This window comes from Homo sapiens, chromosome 16, assembly GCF_000001405.40.
Source record: "Homo sapiens chromosome 16, GRCh38.p14 Primary Assembly".
Classification (NCBI taxonomy): Eukaryota; Metazoa; Chordata; class Mammalia; order Primates; family Hominidae; genus Homo; species Homo sapiens.
The window spans coordinates 4,561,511-4,577,092 of NC_000016.10; the positions used below are offsets into that span (position 1 = coordinate 4,561,511).

Consider the following 15,582-nt stretch of genomic DNA (forward strand, 5'->3'; position numbering starts at 1 on the left):
TGCCCCCTGGCCTGCCTTGATGGATGAAGGCTTCTAAAAAGCAGCTCAACAGGGCAACCCACCCAGCTCACAAAAGGGGCTCGTGGACAGGTTCAGACCTAGCTGTACAGCCTTCAGGACTGTTTGTGCAGCTAAGGAATGTCCCCATCATTAGAGAATCTTGCCTTGTCCCAGCCTGATTGAAGTTGCCCGAGGTTCCCACAATGACCCATTGAAGGGGGTTGCCATGGCAGCTGGTTCTAGAATGATGCAAACTGCACAGCTAACTGTCTGCACCCACCAACTAGTGAGGCTGCCGGGGGGTCGCCTGGCAAACAAACGTGTTTTACAATGTTCCTTTCGCGAGTCCCAGTCTGCCTCCTTCAGGCCTCGGTTTTTCTCCCCTGTAATAATAACCTCTTGCAGCTGGCCTCACAGGCGAAAACAAGGGATGATGTCAGCTGTTTGTTGTTGAAACTGTTTCGTCTAACCCTGTTTCCATAACATTGTGGGTCCAAGGCTTAGGGTATTTTTTTAAATTGTAGAAAACCTTTAACTTATTGGTCTTTTTGAGGGAATGAGATGCATCGCCACTGCATTACAACTAAGCCATTAATCCTGTAGCTTCATCAACATTAACTGGTTCACTTTCATGATGCCAATGGGGAATCAGTTCTTTCTACAGATGTTCAAGAGAAAAGATTGCCAGGTGTGGTGGCTCATGCCTGTAATCCCCGCACTTTGAGAGGCTGAGGTGGGAGGATCGCTTGAGCCCAGGAGTTCAAGACCAGCCTGAGCAACATGGCGAGACTCCCTTTCTACCAAAAAATTTTGAAATTGGCTGGGCATGGTGGTGCACCTGTAGTCCCAGGTACTCAGGAGGCTGAGGCAGGATTGCTTGAGCCTGGGAGGTCGAGGCTGCAGTGAGCTATTATTAATATTACAGCCTGGACAATGGAGCAAGACTGTGTCAAAAAAAAAAAAAAGAGAAAAGCCTTTTGAGAAGAGTGCAAGTTCTTTTATATATTTACAAAACCTTTATTCACTCAATTTTTTTGTTTGTCTTTATTTTTTAAGATTGTATTACTTGATTTTATTTTACACTAGGTGGTGGGCACACAAAGCAATCCTTAATAAAGTTGACAATTAGCTTCATTCAACATTTTTAATAATGCACATATAAAAAAAGTATTCATCTTACAAATTCTTCTGCAATCCAAACATATAATAGCTTGGAGAACATTTAGAAAACAAAAGCCAATGTAAAAAGACAGATTAAAACAACTAGAACAGTACAGGTTTTATTTATATGGCTCGAATTTTACAGGTTTCTTACTGTATCATCAGTGTCAGAAATCTGTTCTGTCAGCTGGCTCCATTGTTCTGGATTTAAAGAAATACCTTTTCTTCCTGGTTTCATTTCACCTTCAGGATCCATCCAATATTCTCCAATATCAATTAGCACTTTGCCTTTAAAATCTTGAACGCCAACGTACCTCATTTTCCCAATCTGAAACATGTTACCATCTCTGCTGCTGCTCCTCTGTCAGAAGATGACAGAGCTCTCCAAGTTTCGCCTGTCTTTTGCTTCTTTACAGGTTTTTCTGGAGCAACTTGCTTTTTCCTCTTTAAGTTTTTGTCAACCTCACTGTCAGAATCACTGCCAGAAGAGTTTGAAGAAACAAGTTCCTTTGCTTTAGGCATCGCTTCGCTCGGCTCTAGCAGTGGAACACCCTCTTGCTCGTTCGCTCATGACTGACTCGTTTGTTTTTATTTTTAAGGCAGGGTCTCACTCTGTCGCCCAGGCTGGGGTGCAGTGGCTCGATCTCAGCTCACTGCAGCCTCAACCTCCCGGGCTCAACCCTGGAGGCAATCCTCCCACCTCAACCTCCTGAGTAGGTAGGACTACAGGCCTGTGCCACCACACTGGCTAATTTGTATTTTTTGTAGAGACAGGGTGTTGCCATGTTCCCCAGGCTGGTCTCGAACTCTTGAGCTCAAGTAATCCTCCCACTTCAGCCCAAAGTGCTGGGATTACAGGCTTGAGCCACTGCGCCCACCCTCTGTTAACCTTTTTTTTGTTTGTTTGTTTGTTTTGAGACGGAGTCTCGCTCTGTTGCCCAGGCTGGTGGGCAGCAGCATGATCTTGGCTTACTGCAGCCTCTGCCTCCTGGGTTCAAGCGATTCTCCTGCTTCAGCTTCCTGAGTAACTGGGATTACAAGCGTGCACCACCATGCCCAGCTAATTTTCGTATTTTTAGTAGAGACGGGGTTTCACCATGTTGGCCAGGCTGGTCTTGAACTCCCGAGCTCAGGTGATCCACCCGCCTGGGCCTCCCAATGTGCTGGGATTACAGGCATGAGCCACTGTGCCCGGCCTCTGTTGACTTTTAAATCATAACATTTGTCTTAAGACTAGTGGTAACTGCCAGGTGTGGTGGCTCCCACCTGTAATCCCAGCACTTTCGGAGGCCGAAGTGGGCGGATCACCTGAGCTCAGGAGTTCAAGACCAGCCTGGCCAACATGGTGAAATCCCGTCTCTACTAAAAATACAAAAATTAGCTGCTAGTCGGGAGGCTGAGACAAGAGAATTGCTTGAACCTGGGAGGCAGAGGTTGCAGTGAGCCGAGATTGCGCCACTGCACTCCAGCCTGGGAGACAAAATGAAACTCCATCTTAAAAAAAAGAAGAAGAAAAGATTAGTGGTAACTGGTTTTGCTTTGTTTTTAGCCTTAAAGTGTTTTTGGCTGGCTTTGTGAAGTCCATTCGTGGACTTCTGCCCTCCTAATTTGTTCTTGGCCATTGTCAGACTTGGTTGGATATGTGCACGCAGCTTCTGCAGCTCAGGTGATGCCATCTGCATGCACTGGGTCCAGGAAGTCCCCGGGAGAGGGATCCAGTCTAAGGGGATGCTAACAACCTATTGTTGCTTTCTTTATTTCTAAACACCCTCCCCATTTTACTCCCTCAGAAACTACAAAGCACCTGCTGTATATTGTACAGGTTAAAATGATGTCACATTTAAATTGGATTTTTAAGGCTGGGCGTGGTGGTTTACGCCTATGATCCCAGCACTTTGGGAGGCTGAGGCAGAAGGATCACCTGAGCTCAGGAGTTCCAGGCCAGCCTGGCCGATGTGGCAAAACCTTGTCTTTACTAAAAATACAAAAATTAGCTGGGCATGGTGGTGCGTGCCTGTAGTCCCAGCCACTCGAGAGGCTGAGGCACGAGAATCGCTTGAACCCGAGAGGTGGAGATTTCAGTGAACCGAGATCGCGCCGCTGCACTCCAGCCTGAGCGACAGAGCAAAACTCCATCTCAAAAACAATAAATAAAATACAAATAAAAATTGGGTTTTTAACTATTTTGTAACATTGCTTAAAGGTGTGGAAGACACTTTGGGGTGTTAGAGGACCAAGGTTGCCATGATTGCAGTAATGGTAACGAACACTCAGATGTCATTGGTGTCACCTTCACAGTGTCGTGAAGTGCTCTTACATTCCTCGTTTCCGTGGAGGGAAATGTTAGCATTCCTGTTTTCCAAAGTCCCACATGTGACCGTGTGGACAAGTCTAGCTGCTTGTCTGAGGGGGTGTTTGCCTTAGCCCCTTTTTCAGGCCTCTTAAGGCCTTTGTAAGTACTGGGCCCTAGCTGAACCCCAGCATCCTTAAAGCCCTCTTGAGAGAGAGAGAGAGCAGGTTTGGACAAGCCCTGCCTCGAGGACTATGGCATGGGTCAGCTTCTGGAAGGGCAACTGTCGGGGACGCACTTTCCCTTGAACTCAGCACCATCCAAGCCCTGAATGTGGCCCAGTCACCCTGGGCAGAAAAAAGACCTCAGCCACTTTCCCCACAGCTCTCTCTCCTGCCCCTTCTTCCCCAGGACAGGAGTCCAGAGCATGTCCCCTACATGTGAGACAGCAGGTGGGTCTTGGGTGAGAAACCTCTCACTGCATATCACACAGAGGGGGAGGTTGTAGTAAGCTGAGATGGCACCACTGCAATCTCCACGCAAGATGCAGGGAGTCTGGCTCTGGCGCCCAGGCTGGAGTGCAGTGGCACAGTCTCAGCTCACTGCAACCTCCACCTCCTGGGTTCAAGTGATTCTTGTGCCTCAGCCTCCCGAGTAGCTGGGATTACAGCTGCCCACCACCACACCCGGCTAATTTTTGTATTTTTCGTAGAGACGGGGTTTTACCATGTTGGCCAGGCTGATCTCGAACTCCTGACCTCAGGTGATCTGCCCACTTTGTCCTCCCGAGGTGCTGGGATTACAGACATCAGCCACCACACCCAGCCTCGTTTCTACCTTTTGACTGTTATGAATATGCTGCTATAAGCATTCATGTACAAACTTCTGTTTTGTTTTTAGGGACAAGGTCTTGCTCTGTTGCCCTGGCTGAAGTTCAGTGGTGCCACCATAGCTCACTGCAGCCTCAAACTCCTGGTCTCAAGCGATCCTCCCATCTCTGCCTCCCAAGTTTCTGGGACTACAGGCGCTTGCCACCATGCCTGGCTAATTTTTAAGTTTTATGTAGAGATGTGGTCTTGCTGTGTTAACAGCCCACGCTGGTCTTGAACTCCTGACCTCAAGCACTCTTCCACCTTGGCCTCCGAAAGCAGTCGGATTACAGACGTGAGCTACCATGCCTGGCCCATGTGTGCAAGTTTTTATATGGACCTATGTTTTCATTTCTTTTGGGAATATACCTAGGATTAGAATCAGAGATCATCTGGTATCTCTATAATCTTGTGAGGAACTGCCACACTGACTTCTAAAATGGCTGCACAATTTACATTCCCAGCAGCAGTGTATGAGAATTACGATTTCTCCTTATGGTTAACAGCACTTAGTATCTGACTTTCGCTTCTGACCATCCTACAGAGTTTGAAGTGGTATCTCATTGTAGTTTTGATTTTCATTTCCCTGATGACGAATGATGTTGAGCATCTTTTCTTTTTATGTGCTTATTGGCCATTTACACATCATCTTTGGAGAAATGTCTATTCAGATCTTTGCCCATTTTTAATTGGGTTATTTGTATCATTGAGTTGTAAGAGTTCTGTATATATTCTGCATATACTGGGTCAGATATATGATTTGCAAAATGAGGTTTTCTCCCATTTTGTGGGTTGTATTTTCATTTTCTTGCTGGTGTCTTTTGAAGCACAAAAGGTACTTTTTATTATGACTTTAATCTCTTCACTTGTTTTAGGTTTACTCGGATTGTCTATTTCTGCTTGAGTCAGTTTTAATGATTTTCTAGGAATTTGTCCATTTCACCTAAATTATATAATTTGTCCACAGGCAATTATTCATAGTATTTCTTTATAATCCTTTTTATTTCTGTAGAGTTGATAGAATGCCCTCTCTTTCATTTCTGATTCTAATAATTTGAGTCTGATTCTTGGCCAATCTAGCTAAAAGTTTGTCAATTTTGTTGACCTTTTCAATTAACCAGTGTTTAGTTTCATTGATTTTTCTGTACTATTTTTTTATCCTCTATTTCATTAATTTCACCATATTCTTTGTTATTTTCTTATTTCTATTTGTTTTAGGTTCAGTTTGCTTTTCTTTGTTCCAGTGTCTTAAGGTGGAAGGTTAAGTTATTGATTCAAGATCTTTCTTTGTTAATATAGTCACTTACAACAATAAGTGTTCTAAGTGTCTAATCACCACTTTAGCTGCATCCCGTAAGTTCTGGTGTGTTGTGCTTTCATTTTAACTCATTTCAAATTAGTTTCTAATTTCTATTTCTATTGTGATTTCTTCTTTGACATATTTCTTTTCTTTTTTTTTTTTTTTTTTTTTGAGATGGAGTCTCGCTCTGTCACCCAGGCTGGAGTGCAATGGCGCGATCTTGGCTCACTGCAAGCTCAGACTCCTGGGTTCACGCCATTCTCCTGCCTCAGCCTCCCAAGTAGCTGGGACTACACGTGCCCGCCACCACGCCCGGCTAATTTTTTTTTGTATGTTTAGTAGAGACGGGGTTTCACCGTGTTAGCCAGGATGGTTTTGATCTGACCTCATCATCCGCCCACCTCGGCCTCCCAAAGTGCTGGGATTACAGGTGTGAGCCACCGCGCCCGGCCTTCTTTGACATATTCCTTTTGTGATTTCTTCTTTGACATATTTGTCATTTAGTAGAATGTTTTTTAAATTTTTACATGTTTGTGAATTTTCAATAGTTTCTTCTGTTGCCTTTTTTTTTTTTTTTTTTTTTTTTTGAGATGAAGTCTTCCTCTGTCACCAGGATGGAGTGCAATGGCATGACCTTGGCTCACTACAACCTCTGCTCCTGGGTTCAAGCAGTTCTCCTGCCTCAGCCTCCCGAGTAGCTGGGACTACAGGCACGCACCACCACACCCAGCTAATTTTTGTATTTTTAGTAGAGATGGGGTTTCACCATGTTGGCCAGGATGGTCTCGATCTCCTGACTTCATGATCTGCCTGCTGTAGCCTCTCAAAGTGCTGGGATTACAGATGTGAGCCACCACGTCCGGCCTGTTTTTGTTTTTTGTTTGTTTGTTTGTTTTAAGCCCTGTCTATGGGAGCCATTGGCAATCCAAGAACTTTTTTATTTTATTTTTGAATTATAGAGACGGGAGCTCACTATGTTGCCCAGGCTGGTCTGGAACTCCTGAGCTCAAATGATACTCCTGCCTCAAGCTCCCAAAGTGCTGAATTACAGGCATGAGCCACCATACCTGGCCTCTTCTGTTGCTTTCTAATTTAATTCCATTGTGGTCAGAGTATGTATTTTGCATAATTTCAGTCCTTTTGAAATTTGTTAAGGCTTGTTTTATGGCTTTACCATATGGTCTACCCTGGAGAGTATTCTATGTGCATTTGAGAATAATATGTATTCTACCATTGTTGAGTGGGGTATTCCGTAGATATCTGTTATGTCTAGTTGGTTTATACTATTGTTCAAATCTTCTCTTTTCTTGCTGGCCTTTTGTTTTGTTAATTTTATTTATTTTATAGTGACAGGGTCTCCCTTGGTTGCCCAGGCTGCTCTGGAACCCCTGGGCTCAAGCCATCCTTCCACTGCAGCTACCCAAAATGCTGGGATTACAGGTGTAAGCCACTGAACCCAGCCTCTTGCTCTTCTTTTTTTCTTTTTCTTTTCTTTTTAATTTTTTTTTTTTTTTTTGAGACAGAGTCTCACTCTGTCACCCAAGCTGGAGGGCAGTAGTGCAATCACAGCTCACTTCAGCCTCAACCTCCTGGGCTAGGAAGATCCTCCCATCTCATCCTCCCAGGGACCTGGGACTACAGGCATGCACCACCACGCCTGTCTAATTTTGGTATTTTTTTGTAGAGATGGGAGACCGCTATGTTGCCCAGGCTGGTTTCGAACTCCTGGGCTCAAGTGATCCACCTGCTTCAGCCCCCCAAAATGCTGGGATTACAGATGTGAGCCACTGCACCCAGGATACTGTTCTTTTTATCTCGGGTTTTGTTTTTTCGAGATGGAGTCTTACTCCATCTTGTGTGACTTACTCAGATGGAGTCACACAGGCTGGAGAGCAGTGGCATAATCTTGGCTTGCTGCAACCTCTGCCTCCGGGGTTCAAGTGATCCTCTCACCTCTGCCTCCCAAGTAGCTGGGATTACAGGCAAACACTACCACGCCTGGCTAATTTTTATATTTTTGGTAGAGATGGGGTTTCACCATGTTGGCCAGGCTGGTCTCAAACTCCTGAACTTCAGATCCACTGGCCTCAGCCTCCCAAAGTGCTGGGATTACAGGTGTGAGCCACCATGCTGGACCTTCCTTATCTTAGTTATTCTATTCATTACTGAAAATAGGAAATTGAAGTCTCAAACTATTCTTGTTAATTAACTATTTCTCCTTTTGTAACTGAGTACCCCCATTTTTCTAAAAGATAGTTTATTTTAAAAATTATTTTCTCTTCCTTTCTCCTTCCCCACTGCTCCCCACTTCCTACTTAGCCCTTTAGAAATGCAAAGAGAGGCCTGGTGAGTTGGCTCATGCCTGTAATCCCAGCACTCTGGGAGGCCGAGGTGGGTGGATCACTTGAGGTCAGGAGTTTGAGATCAGCCTGGCCAACATGGTGAAACCCCATTAGCAGGGCGTGGTGGTGTGCCCCTGTAGTCTCAGCTACTTGGGAGGCTGAGGTGGGAGAATCACTTGAACCCGGGAGGTGAAGGTTGCCTAGGTGACAGAGTGAGACTCTGTCTCAAAAAAAAAAAAAAAGAAGGCAAAGATAGTCTTTGACCCCTCCTTCACCAGTCACTCCCTACAGGGCAAGTTCATGTAACTCCTGGAGAGTTAAGAAACAGACTTAGAGACCAAAGCACGCCCCTTATAGGACTTTCACCTGGGAACTTCCACTCTCCAGGGATTGCCTGAGAGCTCAGTCTCACCAGGAGGACATGTTGAAAGCGTGCCCATGGCCACTTTTACAACTTACTTCTTCCCAGGAAGGTGCCAACTCAGCTGCCCAGTAGATAAGACATCACGCTCAAAAGGAGACCCCTGCCCTTGCTGGCTGTATCCCCTACGTCTTAAAAGTGCCCACTTTTTCTCCAGAAGTGAAGCGGCACGTTTAAAGCCAGGGCGCTTTGTGCCCCTTCCCCAAGCTAGAACTTTTTTATTTTATTTTTGAATTACGGAGACGGGATCTCACTATGTTGCCCAGGCTGGTCTGGAACTCCTGAGCTCAAATGATACTCCTGCCTCAAGCTCCCAAAGTGCTGATAATTCGGAATAAATTCACTTTCTTTTTGGTACCAGACCTTGCTCATGGTAACTGAACCCTGCAATGCAGCGAGCAACCAACGTGCTTTTCAGTTACACTTTCAGTTCTGTCAGTGTTTCCTTCATGTATTTTATAAAGGGCTCTGTTAAGTGCATGTATGTTTATAATTATTATATCTTCCAGATAGTTTGGCCCTCTGAGTGGAAAAAAACTCAGTTTCTTTCACACTGTTCTCACAACACGCTTTTTTTTTTTTTTTTTTTTAGATAGAGACTCACTTCGTTGTCCAGTCTGGAGTGCAGTGGTGCGATCTTGGCTCACTGCAGCCTCTGCCTCCCAGGTTCAAGTGATTCTCCTGCCCCATCCTCCTGAGTAGCTGGGATTACAGGCACGCAACATCAGGAACTGCTAAGTTTTTTTGTATTTTTAGTAGAAACAGGGTTTCACCGTGTTGGCCAGACTGTTATCGAACTCCTGGCCTCATGTTCTGCCTGACTTGGTCTCCCAAAGTGCTGGGATTATAGGCATGAGCCACCGCGCCAAGCTCGCAACACACTTCTGACACCAGATGTGTGAGGATTTCTCCCTACAGCAAGCAATAATTTCTGCAGGCAGCCTGCTTCCCCTTTTGCCCTCCAGAGCCAGGCTCCACAGGAGCCCGAGAGATCCTTTAAAATGTAAATACAGACCGGGTGCTGTGGCACTTTGGGAGGATGACGCGGGCAGATTGCTTGAGCTCAGGAATTCGAGACCAGCCTGAGCAACGTGGTGAAACCCCATCTCTACCAAACAAAAACAAAAACAAAAACAAAAAAAATTAGCTGGGCGTGGTGATGCACACCTGCGGTCTCAGCTACTTGGGAGGTTGAGGCAGGAGAATCACTTGAGCCCAGGAGGTGGAGGTTACAGTGAGTTGAGATCGCGCCACTGCACTCCAGCCTGAGCCACAGAGTGAGACTCCATCTTAGAAACAAAAAGTAAATGCAACCCTGTCTCTCCTGCTCCTGATCCTCCAGTGGCTCCTACCCAGGGATGGGCTGTGCTTCCTCCCTGGCTGACATCTATCATAGAAGAAAGGGCGTGAGATGCTTCATGACGAGTAACTCCTGGTTTCTGGATATATTCAAATACAGAGTTGCCTCCTTCTCATCCAGGCCACTTGGAGATGAGAGCACTGTTGACTTTAGTAGCATCTCCTGGTCCCCTTGTAGGTTCCAGTCTAGGCCTTGGGAGAGCCAAGAGGACCTCTTGAACAACGGCTATCATCAGAAAGCTTCTGCACTTCACTTACCTTCTCCCCCAGCCATACCCGGCTTCACATTTTCTCCTCCTCTTTTGCAGTCAATGCAGACCCTGCAGGACTTGCTCACTGATCTTCATGCACTCCAGGTCACCATCACAGCCCTCAGAAAAGAAGTGGACATGCTGAAGAACATGCTTGACAAGGTAGGCCCTCCCCCAGCATCCTCCATGCCAGCTGCGTTGCTCAGGCCTCTGGGGGTTGGAGCAATGAGGAAAATCTAGGAAGCTTACTGTTAGGCCAAGAGTGCAGCTGTGAGGGTGTGGTCATGTGGACCCTCCAATTGGCCAGTGCCACCGACTTCTCTGTGACCCCTCCATGCTTTCTTTTCTTTTCTTTTTTTTTTTTAAGACAGAGTCTCACTCTGTTGCCCAGGATGGAGTGCAATGGCATGATCTTGGCTCACGGCAACCTCTGCCTCCCGGGTTCAAGTGATTCTCCTGCCTGAGCTTCCCGAGTAGCTGGGATTACAGGCACGCACCACCACATCTGGGTAATTTTTGTATTTTTAGTAGAGACAGGGGTTCATCTTGTTGGCCAGGCTGGTCTCGAACTTCTGACCTCGTGATCCACCCACCTCAGCCTCCCAAAGTGCTGGGATTACAGGTGTAAGCCACCATACCTGGCCGACCCCTCCATGCTTTCTACCCCAGTGTGTTAAAACGTTAGTTGTAAGTGACAGAAATCACGTTCATCCTGGATTAGGCAAAATAAGGGATTTATTGTCTCATTTACTAAAAGGTCCAGGGACGGCCAGATCTAGGTACTCATGCAATACTTATATTTCTTTTTTTTTTTGAGATGGAGTCTCGCTCTGTTGCCCAGGCTGGAGTGTAGTGGCTCGATCTTGACTCACTGCAACCTCCACCTCCCGGGTTCACGCCATTCTCCTGTCTCAGCCTCCCGAGTAGCTGGGACTACAGGCGCCCGCCCCCATGCCCGGCTAATTTTTTTTGTATTTTTAGTAGAGATGGGGTTTCACCATGTTAGCCAGGATGGTCTCAATCTCCTGACCTCTTGATCCGCCCGCCTCAGCCTCCCAAAGTGCCAGGATTACAGGCGTGAGCCACCACATCCGGCAATACTGACGTTTCTCAGTGAAACTTTCCTCCCAGTTGGCTTCATTCTCAGGCAGGTGCTCCTCAAGTCTTGGCAACAGCAGACTTATATTCCACCAACCTAGCAAAAAGAAAACCTCTTCCCCTTCTGGAAAGCTCTGTCCACATGGAAAGTGGAATAATCATAATAGTGCAGGCATACATACAAGCTCCTTCTGTACTTCTGTAGCCAAAAACCATCAGCCAAGTATTTTCTAACACCCTACCATGCATGGAAGGACATGGAGTCCCCGAGACATGAGGCAGCTGTCCCCGTCACAACTGATGAGTCACAGCTGGGGTCTGAAGCCAGCTCTCCACACCCCCAGGTTTAACAACTTCCCCCAAATAGTGTAATTTTCTGTATCATCCCGGCTTCACAGATCAGGGCCTGTATTTGATCATCATGGCAACTGTGGGAGCTTTAGGCATGGGCTGGATGGCTCCCATCTAAGCAGAAAGAACGCTGTTAAAAGCTGCATCATGAGCTACTCAAAAGGGCCCCTTAGACAAAGCTGTTGGAGAAACCATGCCTTCTCGGCGGGGCCTGGTGTCTCACGCCTGTAATCCCAGCACTTTGGGAAGCCAAAGCAGGCGGATCACCTGAGGTCAGGAGTTCGAGACCAGCCTGGCCAACATGGTAAAACCCCCGTCTCCACTAAAAATACAAAAATTAGCTGGGTGTGGTTGCAGGCACCCGTAACCCCAGCTACTCAGGAGGCTGAGGCACGAGAATCACTTGAACCCAGGAGGTGGAGATTGTAGTGAGCCAAGATTGCGCCACTGCACTCCAGCCTGGGTGACAGAGCAAGACTCCGTCTCAAAAAAAAAAAAAAAAAAAAGGTGGGGTCGGTGGGGCGGCATGGTGGTTCACGCCTGTAATCTCAGCATTTTGGGAGGCTGAGGTGGGCAGATCACAAGGTCAGGAGATCGAGACCATCCTCGCTAACACGGTGAAACCCCATCTCTACTAAAAATACAAAAAATTAGCTGGATGTGGTGGCAGGTACCTGTAGTCCCAGTTACTCAGGAGGCTGAGGCAGGAGAATGGTGTGAACCTGGGAAGTGGAGCTTGCAGTGAGCCGAGATCACACCACTGCACTCCAGCCTGGGCAACAGAGTGAGACTCTGTCTCAAAAAAAAAAAAAAAAGAAAAAAGAAAAGAAAAACAATGCCTTATTGGCCTGTCTCTTGGAGGTGTTTTTGTTGTTGTTGTTTTGTTTTGTATTCTTTTTGAGACGGAGTCTCTCTCTGTCACCCAGGCTGGAGTGCAGTGGCACGATCTCAGCTCACTGCAACCTCTGCCTCCCGGGTTCAAGTGATTTTCCTGCCTCAGCCTCCTGAGTAGCTGGGATTACAGGTGCAAGCCACCACGCCTAGCTAATTTTTGTGTTTTTAGTGGAGGTGGGGGCTTCACCACATTGGTCAGGCTGGTCCCGAACTCCTGAACTCATGATCCACCCGCCTCAGCATCCCAAAGTGCTGGGATTACAGGCATGAGCCACTGTGCCCGGCCCTCTTGGAGATTCTTAATGTGCTTTTGCTCATTCAAGGCTCTGGGAAGTCCTGCCGTACAGAAACCTGTTGAAATGTTTTTTATTTATTTATTTATTTACTTATTTTTGAGACAAAGTCTCACTCTGTTGCCCAGGCTGGAGTGCAGTGGCGCCATCTCAGCTCACTGCAACCTCTGCCTCCTGGATTCAAGTGATTCTCCTGCCTCAGCTTCCTGATAGCTGGGATTACAGGCGCATGCCATCAGGCCCAGCTAATTTTTGTATTTTTAGTAGAGACGGTGTTTCACCATGTTGGCCAGGCTGCTGTCGAACTCCTGACCTCAAGTTATCCACCCACCTTGACCTCTCAAAGTGCTGGGGTTACAGGCATGAGACACTGTGCCCGGCCTGACATGCTTTCAAGCCCAGCATTTCCCAAACTTGTTTGCCCATGGAACCCTTTCCCACTCCTTGGGAAACACTGGATTTGGAACCCGTTCTTCCTTCTCAAGCTCTTAGTCACCTAGAGCCACGGGAAAAGGCAGGGGTGGGACAGAACCTGGACCCCCAGTCCACAGACTCAGTTCCTTTGACAGGTACACCCAGAAAGAATGGACATCTTTGCTGAAGACTTCAAAATACAGAACTGGAAGATGGTTGCACTGCAGCGGGAAGTGGTGAGGGCCACCATCCCTGTCTTCCCCCACTCCCCCTGGGACCCCCCAACCTCCCGGGTCCTGGGTGCTGAGGGTAGGGAGGTGCAAGGAGGAGAACACAGCCTGGAAAGGTTTCTTTGCAGGTGTGGGGGACACTGCCCCCTCCAGGCTCACAGCCCTCATTTTCTACCCCCACCTTGCAGGCTTCTCTCCAGAATAAGTTTAAAACCATCCCCAAAACCGAGGACATGGTGCTCTGGAGTGGCCTTCATGATGCCATGTTCACCTCAGTGAGTGAGGAAGGAAGGGGAGGTTAGCAGGAAGCTGGGGAGCAGGCGGGTGGCTGACTGAGAGTGGGAGGCGGGGCTGGAAGCCAGCAGAGCCCCTCTGCCCCCTCTTCTGCAGGAAATTGGTTCATCACCACTGGACCTGTGGCAGTCTGTAGAGCAGCTCCCAGAGGCTGCCCTGGCCCAGACCACCAAGTACCTTGAAGCTACTCGTGCCATCCAGGTCTCCGAGCCCGTCCAAAACCCCCAGCTACTGCAGACTGTCTGGCATTATGAGGTCCCAGAGCTCCTCCCGGAGGGCTCATCTGCCCAAGCAGTTTCACTCAGCAGAGCCCAGGAGCCAGCGCAGCCTCCGGCCCTCACGCCTGAGTCTGCACCTGGGTGCACAACTGAATTTGCACCTGGGCCTGCACCTGGGACTGAACCTGTGCCAGGACTGGAGCTGGGGCTGGAGCTGGAGCCTGTGCCTGCCCTGGGGCCTGTCCCAGGGCCCAGTGTGACACCTGGGTCCTTGCCAGCACCTTGGCCTGTGCTTGGACCTGTGCCTGCCCCAGGTGCCCAGCCTCCACCACTGGGAGACTGGCCTGCACTCCCAAGACGCTGGCCTCTTCCCCAAGGCTGGCCCAGGGTGGGCTCTTGGCCTCTGTGGGACTTAGGTGTCCTGCGGCCAACTCAGCCCCAACCCTCCAGGGCCCCACCACCAGCCACTGAGTTTGGCTCATTGTGGCCTCGACCACTCCAGCCATATCAGTCTCGCCAGGGAGAAGCCCTCCAGCTCGCAGCTGTCCAAGTAAAGGGGGAGGAAAATGATGTCCCCAGCCTAAGGGGCCTTCGGGAGAGGGCCCGCAAGGATGGGGCCCCCAAGGATAGAACTCGCAAGGATGGGGTCCCCAAAGATAGAGGTGGCAAGGATGTGGACCCCAAGGATAGAGCTCACAAGGATGATGTCCCCAAAGATAGAGGTGGCAAGGATGTGGACCCCAAGGATAGAGCTCACAAGGATGATGTCCCCAAAGATAGAGGTGGCAAAGATGGGGACCCCAAGGATAGAGTTGGCAAGGATGGGGCCCCCAAGGAAGCACAGCCTAAGGCTCCCCAGTCTGCCCTTCACCGGCTGAAAACCACCGCTGCCATCGCCGCCGCTGCCGCCGCAGCCTACGCCGCTGCCACATCCTCCGCTGCCCAGGCAGCCAAAGTTGCTGCCAAGTTTGTCAAGGATGCCCCAGCCACCAAAATGGCCGCCATTGCAACAGACACGGCTGCAGCTGGGCCCCTAGGGGTCTTTGCAGATGTCCTGGGTGCAGGGCCTTCCCGGGGAGCCACAGAATCCCAGATCTTGGGCGATGATTCCGAAATCTACGAAATCCTCTCTCCCTCCTACTCTGCTGCCAGCATCGGTCCCGATCCAGCCCTGTCCCAGGCCATGGTGGCTACCAAGCAGGCCATGAGCCCTGAAGACAAGAAGAGGGCTGTCAAGTATTCCATGAGCCACATAGCCCAGATACCTGTCAAACACGACTCTCTGAAGGAAGAATTTGCCCAGCTGTCCTGTAACCTGAACCAGCGCTTGAGTTATCTAGGTAGGCCTGGTCTGGCCCTGGGAAGGGCACAAGGGAGTGGGGCTCTCCCTGCAGCCTTTGAGAAGTGTGTCCTGTCCTTCACTGGGCTCCACCAACAAAATCTGCATTCCACCATTAGCCATTCTTTCCTTTGGCTTAAGCATTTGGCTCTTAACGAGTCTATTCTTTTCTGTTGAATGTACAATGAGGTCTTATCTTAGGGCAGGGAGGCTGTTAGGGTCTAAAGTTGGCACGAGGAAAATGGCATGCCAAAATTACTCTCAAAAACTCTTGTGGCCAGGCGTGGTGGCTCCCACCTGTAATCCCAGCACTTTGGGAGGCTGAGGTGGGCGGATCACCTGAGACCGCAAGTTCAAGATGAGCCTGACCAACATGGAGAAACCCCGTCTCTACTAAAAATACAAAATTTGCTGGGCGTGGTGGTGTATGCCTGTAATCCCAGCTACTCGGGAGGCTG

The 15,582-nt window shown here is 48.6% G+C and overlaps 1 protein-coding gene and 1 pseudogene across 5 annotated transcripts in view; one reads left to right on the forward strand and one right to left on the reverse strand.

Annotated features, from left to right (window-relative positions):
• The window catches only part of C16orf96 (chromosome 16 open reading frame 96), a 62,158-nt gene that overhangs the window by 22,910 nt on the left and 23,666 nt on the right, over positions 1-15,582 (forward strand). For 4 of the 5 annotated variants that reach the window (NM_001387219.1, XM_047434053.1, NM_001145011.2 and 1 more), the window contains 4 exons: positions 10,051-10,155; positions 13,199-13,279; positions 13,462-13,548; positions 13,664-15,125. In NM_001387219.1, coding sequence (NP_001374148.1) covers positions 10,051-10,155; positions 13,199-13,279; positions 13,462-13,548; positions 13,664-15,125 — 1,735 coding nt within the window. The remainder of the gene's footprint in view (positions 1-10,050; positions 10,156-13,198; positions 13,280-13,461; positions 13,549-13,663; positions 15,126-15,582) is intronic. The other variant, XM_005255298.4, reaches the window with a different exon arrangement.
• Positions 1,106-1,739, reverse strand: SUB1P3 (SUB1 pseudogene 3; annotated as a pseudogene).